At 39.6% G+C, this 18,484-nt stretch overlaps 2 long non-coding RNA genes across 7 annotated transcripts in view, besides 2 other annotated features; one reads left to right on the forward strand and one right to left on the reverse strand.

The window, feature by feature from the left end:
• The window catches only part of SLC38A4-AS1 (SLC38A4 antisense RNA 1), a 268,904-nt gene that overhangs the window by 88,294 nt on the left and 162,126 nt on the right, over positions 1-18,484 (forward strand). The gene's annotated exons all lie outside the window — the stretch shown is intronic.
• Positions 1-18,484, reverse strand: part of LOC124902923 (uncharacterized) — a 64,239-nt gene that overhangs the window by 41,738 nt on the left and 4,017 nt on the right. The gene's annotated exons all lie outside the window — the stretch shown is intronic.
• Positions 1,854-2,053: an enhancer, noted in NCBI's record as "active region_6249". NCBI's record gives its function as "activates an Ori minimal core promoter by ATAC-STARR-seq in GM12878 lymphoblastoid cells {active_cell/tissue: GM12878}" and the evidence as "EXISTENCE:reporter gene assay evidence [ECO:0000049][PMID:35858748]".
• Positions 18,017-18,311: a silencer, noted in NCBI's record as "tiled region #10724; HepG2 Repressive DNase matched - State 6:EnhF, and K562 Repressive non-DNase unmatched - State 23:Low". NCBI's record gives its function as "represses a minimal TATA promoter and a strong SV40 promoter by Sharpr-MPRA in HepG2 and K562 cells {active_cell/tissue: HepG2 | K562}" and the evidence as "EXISTENCE:reporter gene assay evidence [ECO:0000049][PMID:27701403]".

Consider the following 18,484-nt stretch of genomic DNA (forward strand, 5'->3'; position numbering starts at 1 on the left):
CTTGATCCAATTTCTTTGAAAATTTAACAAATATAATCAAATAGACTAAGCATAACAATTTTTATCAAATTCCACATGGTATTTATTTGGATTGGTGTGTGTTATTTGGTAGGTCTCTATTTACCTATTTTGGAGGAAACCATTATTTCTTCCTTTTATTTTTATATATGCAATGTCCAATTTCAGAGTCTCATTTGCCTGTGAATTGAGAGAGTTCAGTGGACTCATGGAAGACTTGGGTTCTGGCTTTCGACTGCTTTTTTGCTTCCATGCATCTCTGATATTCTTACTCCTAGTAAAGATATCCTAGTAAAGATAACCTCCCACTAAGAGTCAGCAAACAATCAGCAGAAAAGATTGAGTTTCTCCCTTTCCAAAGCCAGTTAGTCAGTCAACAAACAATTCCTAAGTGCCCACCAAGCATTGAGCTCACCCTGGAGACACTGAGGCAGACAATCGTGATTGTGCAGAATCAGTTGGAACGAGGTTATCTGGATGGTGGTAAGGGAGACAGAATGAGAGGAAACAGAGGATTTGCACATAATTGATATTTTCAGTTAGATGAAAAAAATACATTTGAAGTTTGGGATTCAGCATCCCAAATCTAGAATAAGGGACCAGGAAGGCCCCTGCGTGCTTTATGAAGATCACTGATAGATTGTTACCGTGGGGCCCATGGGAGTATCAGCAGGAGGGCAAGCCACACAAAAATAGAAAAGAGAAAAAATGTCCCCAAAGTATGTATATAATTGCAGTTTTACACTTAAAAAATTTTTTCTATATATGCAAAGAAGGTATGTTTTAAAAAAGATTGATGATTGTTAGAGCCAGAAGTGACTTTAGGAATGCTTGGATTTAGGAATTTTCTAACTTTGGTGTACATCAGAATATCTTGGGAGTTTGTAAAAATAAATACCAATGCACAGATCCTAACCTGATGGCCAAGATCTGCTTTCCTAGGTAACTCTAAAATATACTGAGGTTTGAAAACCACTTATTAGTCCAGTTTTTATTTTACAGAGAAGAAAACTGGCATCCAGAGGGGTTAATATACTCACCCACGGTCATATCAATTCCCTTCCTAGTTTAATCTCTATTGGCTGTGTGCCCAGACAAGAAAAAAATGCATCCACTTTGGGAATTGTCCAGAGATAATTTTTTTTCCTGTCTTATGATAGAAAAGAAAGGAAATGTACAAGCAATTTGGGAAAAAATTACTACATATGTATTTGTGAGTATAGTTGCTAGACATATAGATATATATTGCAATCAGGTAGCATAGATTCAAGTTGCCCTGAATATACACTCCCCTTAGATATCTTTTATGGCTATAAAATTTTATGATAGATGAAACTATTAATAGATATTTTCTATTTTCTCATTTTTGCCTACAATTAAGAAAAAGATATTTATTTTTCGAACTATCCACGCCAGGGATTATACGGTGTTAGGCATAGTTAACTGAATTTCATCATCACCCCTAATATAGGTAAGTATGCCAGGCTTATTGTTTTAGATGAGGAAACAAAGAGAAGTGTCATACTTATCACATTAAAATATTAATAAATTTATTAGAATTATAATGGAAATGGAAAGTTCCTGACACTCTTGTTAGTGCTGGGCCTACAACCTCAGTTTTCATAAAAGATCTAGAGTTCAAGGTACCAAATTTTATCAAAATAAGTTTGGGTTTAAGTTCACCAACTCGCCTGTGGCCTACTCGTCCTTTCTGGCAATGATTAACACTAGTGTTTAATGCACGTTTTAAAGTGTGTTCTTTAAACTCTTTTACCAAACAGAACTTCCTTTTTATGTAATGAGTCAGCTCTCCGGGTATTTGTAGCCCGGGGAATTGCCTCTCCAGTGGTGGAGATACGGAGCCCAGCTGCCAGGGTAAACAGCCACTTCCTAATATAATTGCTCAGAAATGCTGGAGGAGAAAATGTAAGAAAAGAAATTGCTCTGTCTTGTAAACAGTCAACTGTGTTTTACAATAGCGTACCAGCACTCCAAATCATTCATCAACTTGAGTAACATGGCTGGATTTCACTGTTAGGTTTACTTGGTAGTCACATTAATCCTTCTCTTCTACATAATGTGCCAGATTTCTTTGATGACAAACAGTACACCAAGGGTCTAAATATGGTTTTAGGAGCAAGCTTTTAACCAGACTCAAACTTATCTCAGAGGCCATTTTCGCTTTCTCTCTTCTTGAGTGGGGCCAGAGCTCAAGTTTGACTCAGGACCATTTAGGGACTTTTTTCTTTATTTTAATTTTTCTAATGATATCATTACAAATTATTTTTTAAAATAGCAGTTAATTAAGATGGGAACTAAGCCAGAATCACATAATCATGGCCTGCAAAGAAGCTCCTAGGTTCATACATCAGTGATTTGAATTGTTCTGTTCCTCTCCGCAGGAGCAATGGTGCTGTTACCACTGTATGTGTGCTTTCTGTGCACACAAGAATGTTAAGCGTTCATCCAGAATTCATATTTATTTATTTATTTTTTCTTTTTTGAGACGGAGTCTGGCTCTGTCGCCCAGGCTGGAGTGCCATGGCTTGATCTTGGCTCACTGCAACCTCCACCTCCTGGGTTCCAGCGATCCTCTTGCCTCAAACTCCCGAGTAGCTGGGACTATAGGCATGAGGCACCATGCCTAGCTAAGTTTTGTATTTTTAGTAGAGACAAGGCTTCACCATGTTGGCCAGGCTTGTCTTGAACTCCTGACCTCAGGGGATCTGCCCGACTCGGCCTTCCAAAGTGCTGAGATTACAGACGTGAGCCACTGTGCCCAGCCCAGAATTCATATTTAGAGAAAAACTTTCGGAGGTGATTTCAACTGATCATTGATCAGTCTTCCCACAGTTGTATACTGTTAAGTGAGCTTTATGTGTATGTGAGTTGGCGGTATCTTCATTTAATTTGCTGGATATTGATATTTTTAACTTGTTAGCAGCTGTTAAAAAATTCAAAATGTGCACATACAATATGTTGAATACAAATATCCTTCTTTCTTTTATTTTCCAGCCATCTTATTCCTTTCCCAATCACTGTTACTCGTTTCTTATATATACTTATAGGGGTATGTTGCATATTTACAATCATATGCATATATAAGGATATGTGTATATATTTTTTAATACAGGTGATCGCATACTCTATACACTGTTCTGAACCATACTATTTTCCCCTTAACCATGTCTTGGAGATCTTCCCATCTCAATATTTAATAATATTGTCTTAATCTTCCACCATGGGACATTTAGTTATGTTTAATCTTTTGCTATTACAAAGATGCATTTTCATCTGTGGGAATATATTTATGGGATAAATACCCAGAAGTCAATTTCTGGTTCCAACAATATGTGTACTTTAAATTTTAGTGATTATTGTCAAATTGCAAAAGGTTACAATAATTCATATTCCCACCAGCAAAGCAAGAATGTGCCTGTTTCTATAAATACTTGCCAACACAATTTGTTAAATATTTTGATCTGCTTAAATTTACATCTTTTTTATTATGAATAGTATAGTGCCTATTTATAATCTAAGTCATTTGTTTTTTCCTTTTCTGTGGGTATTCCAATCCTTTGCCTTTAATTTTTTTTATTGATTTATAGTAGCTCTTTATTCAGGGAATAAATTAGTCCTTAGTTTGTCATGTAAAGTACAATTTCTTTTGATCTTACCTATGATGTTTTGAGGTATACAGAAACTTTTATTTTTTATGTAGTCAAATGCATTTAATATTTGATATTATAGCTTCTGAATTTTATGGAAAAATTTAGAAAGGCCTTTTCCACTTTTTTGAGGTTATGAAAAAATTCTTCAATCTTTTCCCCTCCTGGTACTCTTATAGCTTTATTTTTCCATTTTAAATCTTGGTGTTACAGGAAAGGGGTCCCGATCCAGACCCCAAGAGAGGGTTCTTGGATCTCACACAAGAAAAAATTCAGGACGATTCCACAGTGCAAAGCAAAAGCAAGTTTATTAAGAAATTAAAGGAATAAAAGAATGGCTACTCCATAGACAGAGCAGCCCTGAGGGTGCTGGTTGTCCATTTTTTTGGTTATTTCTTGATGATATGCTAAACAAGGGGTGGATTATTCATGCCTCCCTTTTTAGACCATATAGGGTAACTTTCTGACATTGGCATGGCATTTGTGAACTGTCATGGCACTCGTGGGAGTGTAAGCAGTGAGGATGACCAGAGGTCACTCTCGTGGCCATCTTGGTTTTGGTGAGTTTTGGCCAGCTTCTTTATTGCAACCTGTTTTATCAGCAAGATCTTTATGATCTGTATCTTATGCTGACCTCTTAGCTCATTCTGTGACTTAGAAAGCCTTAATTTGATGCAGCCCAATAGGTTTCAGTCTTATTTTACCCAGCTCCTATTCAAGATGGAGTTGCTCTGGCTCACATGTCTCTGACATTGGTGTAGCTGGAATTTTGGGGGTATGTAGAGTGAGGTAGGGATCCAGCATTTCCCACCAGATGGTTGTGAGGACCTTCAGCATGTCTACTGAGCTCTATATTTAGGTCAGCCCTGGGCTAGGCAGGGTGTGGCTGGAGAGCAGGTGTAACCCTGCCTTGTAGAGCTACACTGGATTCTGGAGGGCACATTCCATTGCCCGTGTGTCTGCAATAAAGGCACTGGGGGGCTCTGCAGAGATGTTAGGGGACTTATGGGAAGAGGAGAATATTGACTTATTGGAACAGAGTGGGGGTGAGTGGCTATGAGCATGGTGGTATAAATGGAGCAGTCAAGCATTTCAGATAAAGAAAAATAAGAACCTGCTTTTGCCATTGGGAATGAAATTAATGTCAATATTTTGTATCCCTGTTACCTCACTACACAGTGATAGAGGGCATTTAAAAATTTGATTTAGGACAACTCTGAACAGGTTTTTGAGGGTTTATGTTTATCTAACTTCAAATAAATCTAGTAATACTAACATCATCTTATGCACCTATAAATACAAGATTGGGAACTTCCAACAAATGCATAAGGCTCAAATGAGGGTGGTGCCAAAAGGCTACAACTTTGCTTTAGATTTTATACATTTGAAGGTCCAATAAGTCCCATAAAATGGCTATGTTTTTGTATTTTTCTTTTAGTCTGTGCTGGATGTTTGTTTCTTTCAGCTTTAAGTGTTCACAGGAGGGATGAAGTAAGATTCTTATTACTGAAGTCCTGATGTGTTAAACAGCCCAATTAGAGTAAGAGATTCTCCAGTCATTTCCAGGACATTTGCTGACTGGTGTCACTAGAAGTTCATGGGCTCCACCTTCAACTGGATCCTCTGTGCTGCCCCATAATCCGGCTTTCCTGGTCCGCTCCCTCCTCTGTTCTCACCTGACTGGAGTACGTATCTATCAACATTTTGCTTTTCCATTCCTGCGGTGCCCTGTGATGGAGAGAAGTTTTGGCTTTCTGATTTTTGGAAAACTAGGAACAGGCTTCTGAGGGTTTATGCTCATCCAAATGTAAATACAACCTTGTTTATTTTTTTTTTAATGGAGGCAATTCCACACATTCCCTACCCTCTCTTCATTCACAGCACAAGCTCTCCTTCTGTGTCTTAGAGAAAAAAGAGGCCATCAGAGAGGAGCTCTGGCAACATCTTGCTATAGAGCCTTGTAGTTTGTCTCTGCATTTACCTTTTCTCCCTTTCCCCCTCATTAAACAAGAGAGCATTCCTTCCTTTATCCAAGGCCAATCACCCCACCTCTTACCTGGATTTTGTCACCTCTCATCTTCTCAAGAACCCTGCTCCTTTAACTATCCTCTCTCAGTATATCAACTTTTACATCAGTATATAGTCACCCTCAGAATGTCCTATCTTACAAGTAAATAAATAAGCAGAAACATTGCCTTGACTGTGTCTTCTTCCCTCTGATTCATAGCCAAACTTCCTGAGAGTTGTCTATATTTACCTCTCCTTTACTCTCAGTCCTCAGTGTTCTATAAGTTCACTGAAATGATTCTTGCCAACATCTTTAACAAATTTTCAGTCTTTATTCTTCTTGAAGTTTGGGCCTTTTCACAACTGGGACCTCTCCCTCCTTCTTGATGTGCTCCTTTTCCTTCCCAAGACTCCTCTCTGGCAGCTCCTCTGGTGTCTCTGAGACTCTTCCTCCTGTGCCCATCTTCCAACACCAGGCTTCTTCGGGTTCCCTCCGAGCTTCTCATTTCTCCTGACATTATGTGAGCCAGCCTATGTCCAGTGCTTCAAGAACAACCCATCTGTGGTTAAGATCCTTGAATTTAGAGCCAGCCACATTTGGATTTTACTCTCAATTCCTACTCTTACATGTTTTGTTATCTGGACAAGTCACTTAACCCTTATAGTCTTAGTTTTCTCATCTTTAAAATGGGCACAACAATTCCTACTTCACAAGGCTGTAGTTGGGGGTAGATTTTATTAAATCAAATAAATTTTATAAAATCACTTCATTTATCCATTCAACAAACACATTGGAGTCTATATTATATTACAGGTACAGGTACTTTTTTTTTTTTACTGTGACATACAATAAATAATACAATTTATAATGCCACCTAGGACACACATACACAAGCAAATTTTCATTAAGAAATTCCTGGCTAGGTGTGATGGCTCATGCCTGTAAACCCAGCACTTTGGGAGGCTGAGGTGGATGGATCACCTGAGGTCAGGAGTTCGAGACTAGCCTGGCCAACTTGGCAAAACCCCATCTCTACTAAAAATACAAAAATTAGCAAGGTATGGTGGTGGGTACCTGTAATCCCAGCTACTCGGGTGGCTGAGGCAGGAGAATCACTTGAATCCGGAAGCTGGAGGTTGCAGTGATCAGAGATCATGCCACTGCACTCTTCAGCCTGGGTGACAGAGTGAGACTCTGTCTAAAAAAAAAAAAAGTGCTGAGCAAAGAGGGAAAAGCCCCTTATAAAACCATCAGATCTTGTGCAAACTCACTCACTATCATGAGAACAGCAGCATGGGGGTAACTGCCCCCATGATTCAATTACCTCCCACCAAGTCCCTCCCATGACACATGGGGATTAGGGGAATTATAATTCAAGATGGGGTTTGGGTGAGGACACAGCTGAACCATATCATTGGGCCTGATTAATCACCTTATTGCTGAATATTCCACCTGAGAGCTCTGTGGGCATTTCAAACTCAGCTTATCCTGTATTGAACATTCAAAGGTTGTTCCTCTTCTGTGCTTCCTATTTCAGTGAGTGGCACTACCATTTAACCTGATGTTCATTTTCCACTCCTTTCTCTCCCTCATTCTACCTTCCTATCAATTGCAAAGTCCTGTCATTGTCATTGTCCCTTCTAGATATCTGTAGAATATGTCCACTGGTCTACATCCTTGTAGGATATCTGTTTAATTCATAGACTCATAGTGGTTTCTTTGCTTAGTCTATTTTTTTTTACGCTGCAGCCAGAGTTATTCTAAAACATAAATACATCCAAACCACTCTTTGGCTTGAATCTAACCATGTTTCAGGTAGTTCTCAGATTAAAGTAAAAACTTTTTTAACAAGAACTTGCAAAACCCCTTTTTACCAGACTTTGTGCCATACGCAAACCTATTTTCTGCAACTTGAGAATGCCTTGCTCTCTATTCTTCAGTTATCTGCAAATAGTATTTCTTCTGCATAGGATTTTCTTTACTCCATCCTCCCAACCTTTTGGATGACTTCCTTGATCCGTAGCTTAAGCATCACTTCTTCCAAGAAGCCTTCCTGACTCCCTGGGCCATGTTTGATTTTCCATCCGGTTGCTCTCAGTGCACTCTGAACTCTTCCCATGGTAACATTTATTATGCCATACCATAATTACCTATTTACAAATATGCACAAAGATAGGAATCAGTTTACCATGTTCATTTGTGCATCCCCAACTTCTAACACAAATCCTGTCATCAAGCAGATGCCCAATTAATATTTGCTGGATGAATTAAAGAGAAATAACTTGGATTCAGGTATTAATGATAATTGATTATTATTAGCTATTGGTTCATATGAATAGTTGGTGTTCGTTGAGCATGCTTAACATTTTATTCTATCTCTTTCATCCTTAAAACAACCAATTAAAGACCGGCAGTATTATCCTCACATTACAAATTAAAATCTGAAGCCCCTGAAAGTTTAGAATAACTTGCCCAAAGTTATGTAACTGCTAAACAACAAAATCAAAATAACCTGGGGCTACCTAAGTGAAACACTCATTCTTTTAATTTCTATACCAGGTATGATGAACTTTCTGGATCTCTTTGTTCTCATAGAGCCTTCACAGAAGGTGGGTAACCAGAGAGGGATGTTGCTTAAGTCAGAGTCATCCTGAGCTGAGCCGTTATCTGTTCACCTATAAGGCCAGCTTCCATTTGCTGGGCCTGAAATGGAGCTCAAGACTTCAATATTTTCTTCAGTTTGTTTGGATGTATGTCAAAAAGCTTTTCTGAGAGTAAGCCTCCTAGTAGGTGCTGACCGAATGCTCCAGCAGTGGGCTCCTGTGTACCAAAGGGACATTGATTGATGGTGTCCACAGAGAGAGGGACACGAGGAGTCTGGAAATTGAGGTGTTGATCATGCTTTGTCAGGAGGCATTTTGCATTCTCTTTGTGATTACTAATCCATTTGGGGAGTGGCCTTGTTTTTCATAATATTTCAGGAACTACCACAGTGAATTGTGATCCTGGGATTTACATTATCATTGTAGCTCAGTGGAAATTCTGATAGACTATTGTTTCAGGACATTTTGGGGATTCATAGTCTAGTGATTTGATGTGACTTTAGGGATTTTGATTATGCCATTTTGGCCTGTGCCAGTCATCTTTATGATGGGTTGAACAGTTAAATAGAATGTCTTCCTCTTGTAAAACTCCAGACATATGCCAGATTTCATCTCATGTATTCTTCACTGCATCCGTCTTGGGCAAGAGAGTGGCAATTGTTCATTCTTTTACAGTGAGAAGGACAATGGGGGCCAGAGAGGTTAATTGGCTTACCTCATTGGGACATCCAGATTACAGTAGCTCAACATCATGAGTTTATGTTTCTGAATCAGACTATTTCATCTTACTGGAAGTGAAATGCACACTTTATATTTAAGGGTCCACAATTCTTCCATATATTTGCATTCATTCATTCATTCATTCAATGACTATGGAGAAACTACTCTATGCCAGGTACTGAGGATAGAGCAGGAAATAAGACAGACAAGCTGTTAAGGAACTGATATTCTTATTGAACAGAGGGAACAGAAAACATCACGTAAACATATTTAAATTTTTCATTTCAAATAGTAATGTTCTATAGATAAAATAAAAACAGAATAACAGGATAGAAGGTACCTGGGATAGATGAAGAAACAATCACCAAAAAGCTTCCATTAGTTGGTATCATATGAGCTAACAGCAAAAGGATGAAAAAAGCCAACCTTGAAAAATCTAGAGGAGACCATTTCAGACAGAGAGAACAGCAAGGGCAAAGGCCCTGAGGGTAGAATGAGACTAGCATGGTCAAGGGCCAAAGAATAGAAATGCCAGATCTTACAGACCATGGTTCAGAGGGATACCTTAGAGGATTTTTAAGCAGAGAAGTGATGGGGAGTTCATCTTTGTTATGACAAGATCTCTTCGATTGCCATGCAGAGGTGGACTGAAGGAGGCAAAGTATGAAACAGAATAGGAAGAGATTATTGCAGTGGTTCAATGGAAGATCATTTTTTATTTTTAGTACTTAATTATGTGTCAGACATTGTAAGTGCTTTCCACACGTTTCTTATTTAATGCTCACAAAATTCTACAATGTAATTATCTTCATTTTTTTAGATAAAGAAATAGAAGGTTCAGAAGTTTAAATATCTCATACAAGGCCACTTAATCTAAGTGGCAGAACCAGGATTTAATTTCAAAGTCTGTACTGTTAAATGTTCTTTTCTAGCCCTGGCATATCTTAATTGTCTGCTGGGCCATTCCCCATGGATGTCCCTAAGACACTTTCAACCTATTATATCCAAAATCAAACTCATTGTCTTCTTCCCTAAACCAATTTTTTCCCCTTAGTTCCTCAATTATATTAATGGCATCACTCAGACTCAGTAATCCAGGCTAGGAACACTAATGTCTTCTTAACTGTCTTCACACTGTGCTTTTCTTCATTAATCTGCATCAAATTTGTTGCATCCTTTTATCCATTTAAAGTATTATCTATCCCATTTCTATTCTTACCCTCATTGCCTTGGTTTGGGTCAGTTCAACAATTCCAATTCCAACTGACCCAATTGGGGAAATTTATTAGTTCCCCAATTCCTATTTCTGTCCTCTGTAATCTATATTCATCTTGCCTTTGGGTTTAGTTCTTATCCTAAACCCAAGTTACATTATCCTCTTCCTTTTCAAATTCATTCCCCATTGGTCCCCATTGCTCTTAGAATGGAATTCACTCTTTTTAGCATGGCAGTCAATTTACTAATAATGGGTAGTTCATTTGTTGCTCTGAAGATTGCTTATTATTTTAGCTTTGACTTACTTTTTTTTGCCACTGATAACTCTCACCACATATAACCAGTCATGCAAAGAGGAAGGTTAGGAACACGCAGTCCAGCAATTCCTGATTGAACTGTTTAGATGTCCAGCATGAGCTATGCTAACCAATGGATGAGACACAGTGTTCAAGGGCCAATAGGTGTTTCCATAGCCTCCTGGTAGAGCTTGTTGACCTAACAGGTCTGGGAAGCCACTCAACTGGATGCATTTTTGTTGGATTGAATTGCATGGAAGGTATACAAAGAAAGACCTGAGTTTTAATGACACACCAAAAAGAAAAGGCAGCCAATTCTTATGGATAGGAGTCCTTTTATTTAAAAAGTAAATGGAGATTTCTGGACAGCAGGAAATGCCCATTGCGTGTGAGATTTATCCTAATTCTATATTCAGTTTTGTTTATAGGCAACAGGTCCCTGTGGGTTTAAGTACTGAATAGAGGGCTAAGAAACAGGGGAACTGTGTGGTTATTTTCTGAGTTGAATTTTCAGACTTATAATTTAGGGATTTAATTCTGGTTGTTAGAAACCAGCCAGCATTCTCTGTCTTTAAGCACTGGTAGTCACCAGGCAAATATAAGGTGAAGTCTTTTCTGGCTTAACCCCAGTAAAGATTTCTCAAATGTATGGTGGTTTTTTTTTCAGAGATGTTCTCTGGCCTACTAGATAATGAGAAAGAACATTTAATAATAAGTTATTTTGTTCTACCATTTCTCATTAAAGAAATAAGAATTTTTAGTCTGTTTTCAGTGATGCTGAAGGAGATAAATTGTTTTCTGCTAGTTTTAAGAACTGTGCTAGCAGTTGTTCCCTTTTTTATTTCACAGAATAAATAATAGTTTTTAAAGATAAGGTAGCAAAGCTCCGTATTTTCTATATTTGATTTTAAGGTGGAGGATAATTTTTTAATGTCTGTAGTATAAGTGAATTATAATTTTAAGCAAAATATACATGTTTAGCTGACAATCTTGTATTGTACAAATAATACTATAACAACAATAACAGAAATCAACCAAGAAAAAAAGAAAAGAGAAAAAAGTCTCTTATCTTGCCATTCTAAAATCAGCTGTTTTAATGTTTCCTTCCAGTTACTGTCAATATGTTATCTAATTTTCACATAGTTACAATCTTAGCATAGACAAGACTTTATAATCTTTTTTTTGCGTCTAATGTTACATAAGCCTTTTTTTTCCACACCCACTTCACATTTTTAAACCCTAATGTGCTTTTGTAATAAAATTGCTAGACAATAATAGATTTCTTCAAAAAGGGTCACTAAGTTCTGGAAATGAAAGGTTTTCCTTGGATTTCTCAACATTACCATATTGTGGTGAATCACACTTTACTGTTTCAGCTAAAGACAACAGTCTGCCAGGGGTCAAACAGAGCTCCTAAGATAAACAGTCCTAGGACACAAAGGGCCATAACATCATCTGTGAATGCTGAGACCTCAATTCTCCTTACCTGTTCTAACAAGAGTACAAAGCTCATTAGATTTTACCCTTATGTCATTGAAGCTACTGCCTAATTTAATGGCAAGTAAAGTAAATGCATCTCGGGCCTTTGGTTTGCTACATTTACTAGGTACTCAATAAAATAAAGGCCATTGATAACTTTAGCATAGATTCTAATGACAATGCAGAACCTACTGTGCATTCAGTCTTCCCAAAGCTCCCAAGCTATTCCACCAAGGGAAAGACCGTTTTGTCATTAGAGGCAAAGGGAGGGTTTTTTCTTTTTTTTTAAGAGACAGGGTCATGCTCTTTCACCCAGGGTGGAGTGCAGTGGTGTGATCATGGCTCACTGCAGCTTTGAACTCCTGGGCTCCAGGGACCCTCCCACCTCAGCCTCCTGAATAGCTAGGACTGCAAGTGCGTGCTAGTACTCTTAGCTATTAGTACAGGCCTGGCTAATTTTTATTTTTATTTTTTTTTGTAGAGATGGGGGTGTGAAAGGAAATGAAATCTTGGGACCCTAAACTCATTAAGCCAAAGGGAAAAGCTGGGCCGAGAACTGGATGATGCAACCTGCTTCCACCTTTTTGCTTCCTAAATAAGATGGCTACAAGATGAAAAGCTATACATCTCTGCCATATTTTGCCCACAAGGAAATTCCTAGTGAGCTTCAAGATCTTTTAAGGTGTTTCTGTTAAAATTTCACAATTTCGCCATTGCAATGTAAATTTATAGCTTATCCTTACAGGTGCAGTCATCTCCCTGCCCACCAGACACAAAGGCATATCTGATTGTTCTCCTGCCCCATTTTGTCTATGTTATCTTATGTAAAATACAGATACCCTGCATTTTTCCTCTGCCCCATTTGTCTATATCACCTTATATAAAAAAATGCAGAGTCACTGAGCCGGACAAAGGCATGAACGACTATTTTTCCCTACCCCCGCTCTTACATGAAAATTGTGTACTTCTGAATATCCTGCCCTTTCCCCTTTAAATTTGGAGCCCTCAGAATCATCTTCAGAGAAAGGCATAGACCTGTCTCCCGGGCATACATCCTTAACTGTGGCAAATAAACCTCCTAAAATGATTGAGACTTGTCTCGTCATTTTTCTCGATTGATATTGGTCTCACTATGTTGCTCAAGCTGGTCTCAAACTCCTGGGCTCAAGTGATCCTCCCACCTCAGCCTTTCAAAGTGCTGTGATTACAGGTGTGAGCCACTGCACACGGCCAGGAGATGTTAATCAAAGGGTTTACATGCTGTAAAGGCGATGTATAAAGAGTTATAGGGATCTTTCGTTTGCTTTTCCTCATATTTGTTGAGAACTGTGTAGGAATTTCCCATGGATTTGATATTTGCCCATTAACAGACACCAAGAGAAGTAGTCAGAAAACATTCCCTAAAATAAAGTGTGAGCCAACTCAGTGGTCTTCTTTGGAAGAGACCTGAGGGGAGGGAAGGTCACGTAGTGATAAGCAGGGATGCAGACTATGGGGTCTGACTCATGAACTTCATATGTCACAGTTAATAGTCAGAAGACCATGGAAGGTCACATCCAGGCACAGGGACCTGGTGAGGCGTGTGTGTATGTATCTACAACACAGAAATTAAGATGCGCCAAAGAGAGCAAGTGACAGGGCTCTCTCCCTATTTCTCACTTGGCATATGAGATGACCTTCAGGAGCTTCTGTTCTGTATGTCCCATTTATTAGACCAAAGTGTTCTAGAGTTTAATGTGCTAATATTCATAAGCTTTGTTAATTACAACATTATCATCTCTGCTGTCATCATCTTCATCAGCCTCAGCCAGGGAAGACCGAATGTCCTTGGCCAACGAGGCCTGCAAAAATATGAATTTTACCTCAGGCTCGCCTAGTTTTTAAAAAATAAATATTGCTGATAATGATTTACTGGCATTCATAGATGAGATGACAAACTGCTCATCAGGCCCCCACTAATGCAAGGACGCAATGGCCAAATGACCAAATACTGGGCTGTTGCTTACAGGACAAGCTGGATATGCTTACTTCCACTCTAACCACAGCTGGGCTACTGTGGTTTGCTCATTCATTCATTCCTTCATTGAGGAAGTACTGGTAGAGTGTCTACTCTGTGTCAGGTATTGTGCTAGAGGCTGGGCTCTCTGCACGAGCAAAGCAGGCGAATCCTGCTGTCAATGAGCCTTCTGGTGGAGAAGACAGGTGTATTCTAAAAATCTCATACGTAAGTGCAGAAGTAAATCTGTGTTGGGTGCAAAAAAGGAGACTGCGGGTGCAGAGGAAGGGGTGGTGACCTGGGCAGAGGCTTCTTCATGAAGTGATGATTGACCCATGGCTGGAAAAAAGATTAACAAAAAATTGCAGACATTTACGAAGTGGGCATTATGTGCCAGTCTCAGATTTTAGTGCTTTCTATGAATAATCTCTGTGAAGTATGGACTCATGTTAACATACAGGTGAGAAACTTAGGCTTAGATACAGTATATAACTTGTTTAGGACCCCCCAGTGGGTGAGTAGAGGAGTGGGTTTTGGAACTCAGTTTGATTCCAAAGCCTGGGGTCCTAATCACCATGATATAATGCTGTCTTCTATTCTCCCTGAAGTAGAAGTTAACCAGGTGGAAAGGATGGTGGGAAGGAAGTACCAGGCAGGTGGAACAGCATGTGCAGAGCCCAGAGGTGGAAGAGAACTGGAATTATGTGAGGAAGCACAGAGAAGACACACTAGCCAGGGCATGTGGGTGGGGGAGAATGTGGGGTGAGGCAGGGAGGTGGGCAGAGCCAGGCCACATATTGCCTGAACAGTCAAGTCAGACTGTGGCCCTGCCCAAGAGGAAGTCACTGCAGGGATCTAAGCAGGAGTGACCATGATCAGAGTTGAGTTTTGAAAAGGTCACTCTAGCTGCAGTGCAGAGCTTAGAAGGGGGCAAAAGCAGATTTGAGGAGACAAATTAAAAGCCCTTTGGTTGGGGGTGAAGTTGAGAGCAATAGAGGTGTAGAAGCAAGTCCTGACTTTTGAACTTTGGCAGTTTTGATGGATAATGATATCATTTATCGGGCAGGGAACAGTACAGGATGACACTGTTTGGAAGAAAAGGTCATGAATTTGATTTGGGCAGGTTGAAGTTGAGGAGCCTTGAAGGTATCCACGTGTTTTCTAGTAGGTAGTTTTATATATAGCTTAGGAGCTCAGGAAGAGGTTAGGGCAGCAGACAGACAGACATTTGTGGGTAATTCCAGGAGAGGCGGTAATTGTGCCCATAGGCATGGGTGACAGGGTCTAGGGAGAGAATCTTTGTATTTTCACTGCCCCTTCCTATGCTTTCTTCTTTCTAATTTGCTTCTGAGGAGTATGTGTCCTTTTTCTTTGTCAGGTTAACCCCTCTAACTGCCAGCCTGATTCCCTTGACCTTTCCCCATCAATTCTTCCCTTGTCATTTCCATCTTCATTCTATAATCCTCTATCAAACTCCCTAAAGTCCATTTCTGTGCTGTGTACCTACTCATTTTTCACTATCTTGAATGCTGACTTTTCTATTCTCAGCCCCACTAAAGTGTCTTTTTCAGAGGCAACTGTTGACCTATGCACTGGATCCAAGTGCTCATCTCAGGCTATGCGTCTCTGGCTTCTTCTTAGCATTTGATTGTTGCTTCTCTCATTTAAGCATCCCCCTCTCTGCTTCCCTGGCATTCTTTTCTCAGTTCTCCTTTCTCTTTACATACTTCTCTTTCTACTTCTCTATACATGTACGTGTCCTCCGGAATGTTTTCTTCTTCCTGCTTCTAGACCTACACTTGCTACCTCAGCTATCTTGTTCAATCCTGTGGCCTTAACCATCACTCCCATGAGGATAGTACTCATATGTATCTTTCTTGCCAGGACCCGAGTACCTCAGACCCGAATATCCAACTGATGGCTAGACACCAATGGCATCTCAAACTCAGCATGGCCCATACCAAATATTTTCTTTTCCTCTGAAACAAGTCAGTGTTCTACACTGTCAATTTCAGTTGAGTTCCTCTTTTTTCATTAATTCTCTTGAGTGCTACCATACTTCCTTTTACTTCTTACCATATTTCCTCTTACCTCTTGCCTGGGTGCTTTGCAGTTGTCTCGAAACCAGTCTTTTTCCTTATTCGATTTTGCTCTGAATGAATTGTCTCTCTCTCTCTCTCTACACACACACACACACACACACACACACACACACACACACACACACACATATATTTCTTTTTTTTTTTTGAGATGGAGTCTTGCTCTGTCACCCAGGCTGGAGTGCAGTGGCATGATCTCAGCTCACTGCAACCTCCGCCTCCCAGGTTCAAGCGATTCTCGTGCCTCAGTCTCCCAAGTAGCTGGGACTACAGGCATGCACCACTATGCCTGGCTAATTTTTGTATTTTTAGTAGAGACAGGGTTTCACCATATTGGCCAGGCTGGTCTTGAACTCCTGACCTCATGATCCGCCTGCCTTGGACTCCCAAAGTGCTGGGATTATAGGCGTGAGCCACCAAGCCCTGCCGAATTCTATATTTTTACTTTAAATGAACTGTATACTCAATCCAGATGATATTACTCCTTAGCCTAACAACTTTAATGATCCTCTATTGTCACTGAATTAAATACTAACCCTTAGCCTGTTTTTAAGGACCCTCTTAACATGATGCTGGCATAGCCTCCCACCTTTATCTCCTAATACCATCTGACATATATGAGCCACATATGGCAGCCTTTCCTACAGACTGTGTTACACTTGAAGGCAGACATCTGTGCCTCAAAATCCTTGTATCACCTATACTTCACACTTAGAACACAGTAGTTACTCACTAAAGTTTTGTTGTGTGCATGGAAAATTATGTACTAGTTCATATGACTGTCTGATAATTCCCAGTCCTTGTGTTTGCTCGTGGGGTGCTTCTGACATGGAGGGACCTCACCTTTTTGTATGCAAAAGTGGATGATGTAGGCAAAAGTGTCATTTAAAATTGTGAATTTATATCTGTATCTATAGCTATATTACCAGTTTATTAAAAGTCTGCTCAACCTTTGACTTAAGAGCCATTCCATTTTGGGAACTTCAAAGTGCCTCTCTTTCTTACTTTAAAAAAAAATTATTTTAAGTACTATAGAGCAAGAAAATTTCATGTGGTCCCTAACCTTATATCTGTGTTGTATTTGATCATGAGGTTTACTTCTGTTAGACCTTTGATTCTTAAGAGTAATTTGAAGACTTGCCATCCCCTCTGGTTCCCCACAATCTGTTTCTGATCCCTAGTTCCCTGCAGTATTTCCCAGCAATCGGCCACTTCATTTAGCATTTTGTGAACTGGGGTTGCGTCTTGCTCAGATTTAGGTCCCTGAAGCACTTAACATGATGGCTTACCCATAGAAGTTTCTCAATATTTGCGGATCTGAATTAAGTGAAATGATATATATGGCTACCAATATCTTCCATTCTAAGTGAAAAATGAGTCAAAGATTCAGACCTATGTTTATTTTGTTTTCAATAGCCAGAGAAAAAGTGACAATGATCTTCTCATGGAATTGGCAAAAGGAGCAATGTAACCATGTGTACCACAAAGAGTAGCTGTCTCTGCCATTTGGTTTGGAGAATAAATGAAATGAAGCCATTATGAGGGCGGAAACATAAATATTATGCAAAAACAGGCATGTTTCGGTGGAGTTAATCTCTGTGCAATCCTTTCCTTCCAAGCCCAGCAGCTCTGCTGGATTCTAGTTACCAACCAAGCCCTGGGCAGGCCCTTCAAATGCATCATGGCCTTGTTTCTATCCCCAGGCTGGTAAGTCAGTTACATAAAATTACATGTTGTTTTCAGGAACCTGTATTTGTGATTTGAAGTTGGTCACTCCTTAATTGGCTAACAGGTATAATTCTAGAATTTTCCTAATTATTCCCATGAATATAAAATGTTTTGAACCTTGTAGGATTTTTTTTTTCCTCTGGGATGTGATTTACTCCTGGCTGCTCTTTTTCAAAAAATAAACTGGATGATGGCCAGAATCATAGGGTGAAAAAATAGCCCTGATGAAAGTGTTCTGGACAACTCTTCCAAAGCAGCCACTGGATTATGGGAAAAACGTTTACAGGGAGAAACCACAGAGCATGGTAAGCAGGTTCAGATTTGGTCATCAATAAGTCTATTGTTCTTATCTGGGAACCTTTTTGTTCATGGAAGTCCTTCAAAAGGGCCACACCCCTTCAGTTCTGTAGAGGTTCCCAGACAGTGACTTGGGGTGGAAAATAAAAGGAGGACTTTTTGTTTCTGACGGGGAGCTTCGCCAGGCCTTACTAGGGACTGATCTTACTTATAGCAGTGAGGCAGGCACATGGTCGATGTGCATATGAGCTGCAACGCAGAGGTCACTCCCAGGCTGGGTCAGGTGTCATCTGAGTTAGGAGATCCAAGTGTGAGGACCAGCAGCTCTAAGTGGGAAGCAAGTTATTTTATTTA

Source organism: Homo sapiens, chromosome 12 (assembly GCF_000001405.40).
Source record: "Homo sapiens chromosome 12, GRCh38.p14 Primary Assembly".
Classification (NCBI taxonomy): Eukaryota; Metazoa; Chordata; class Mammalia; order Primates; family Hominidae; genus Homo; species Homo sapiens.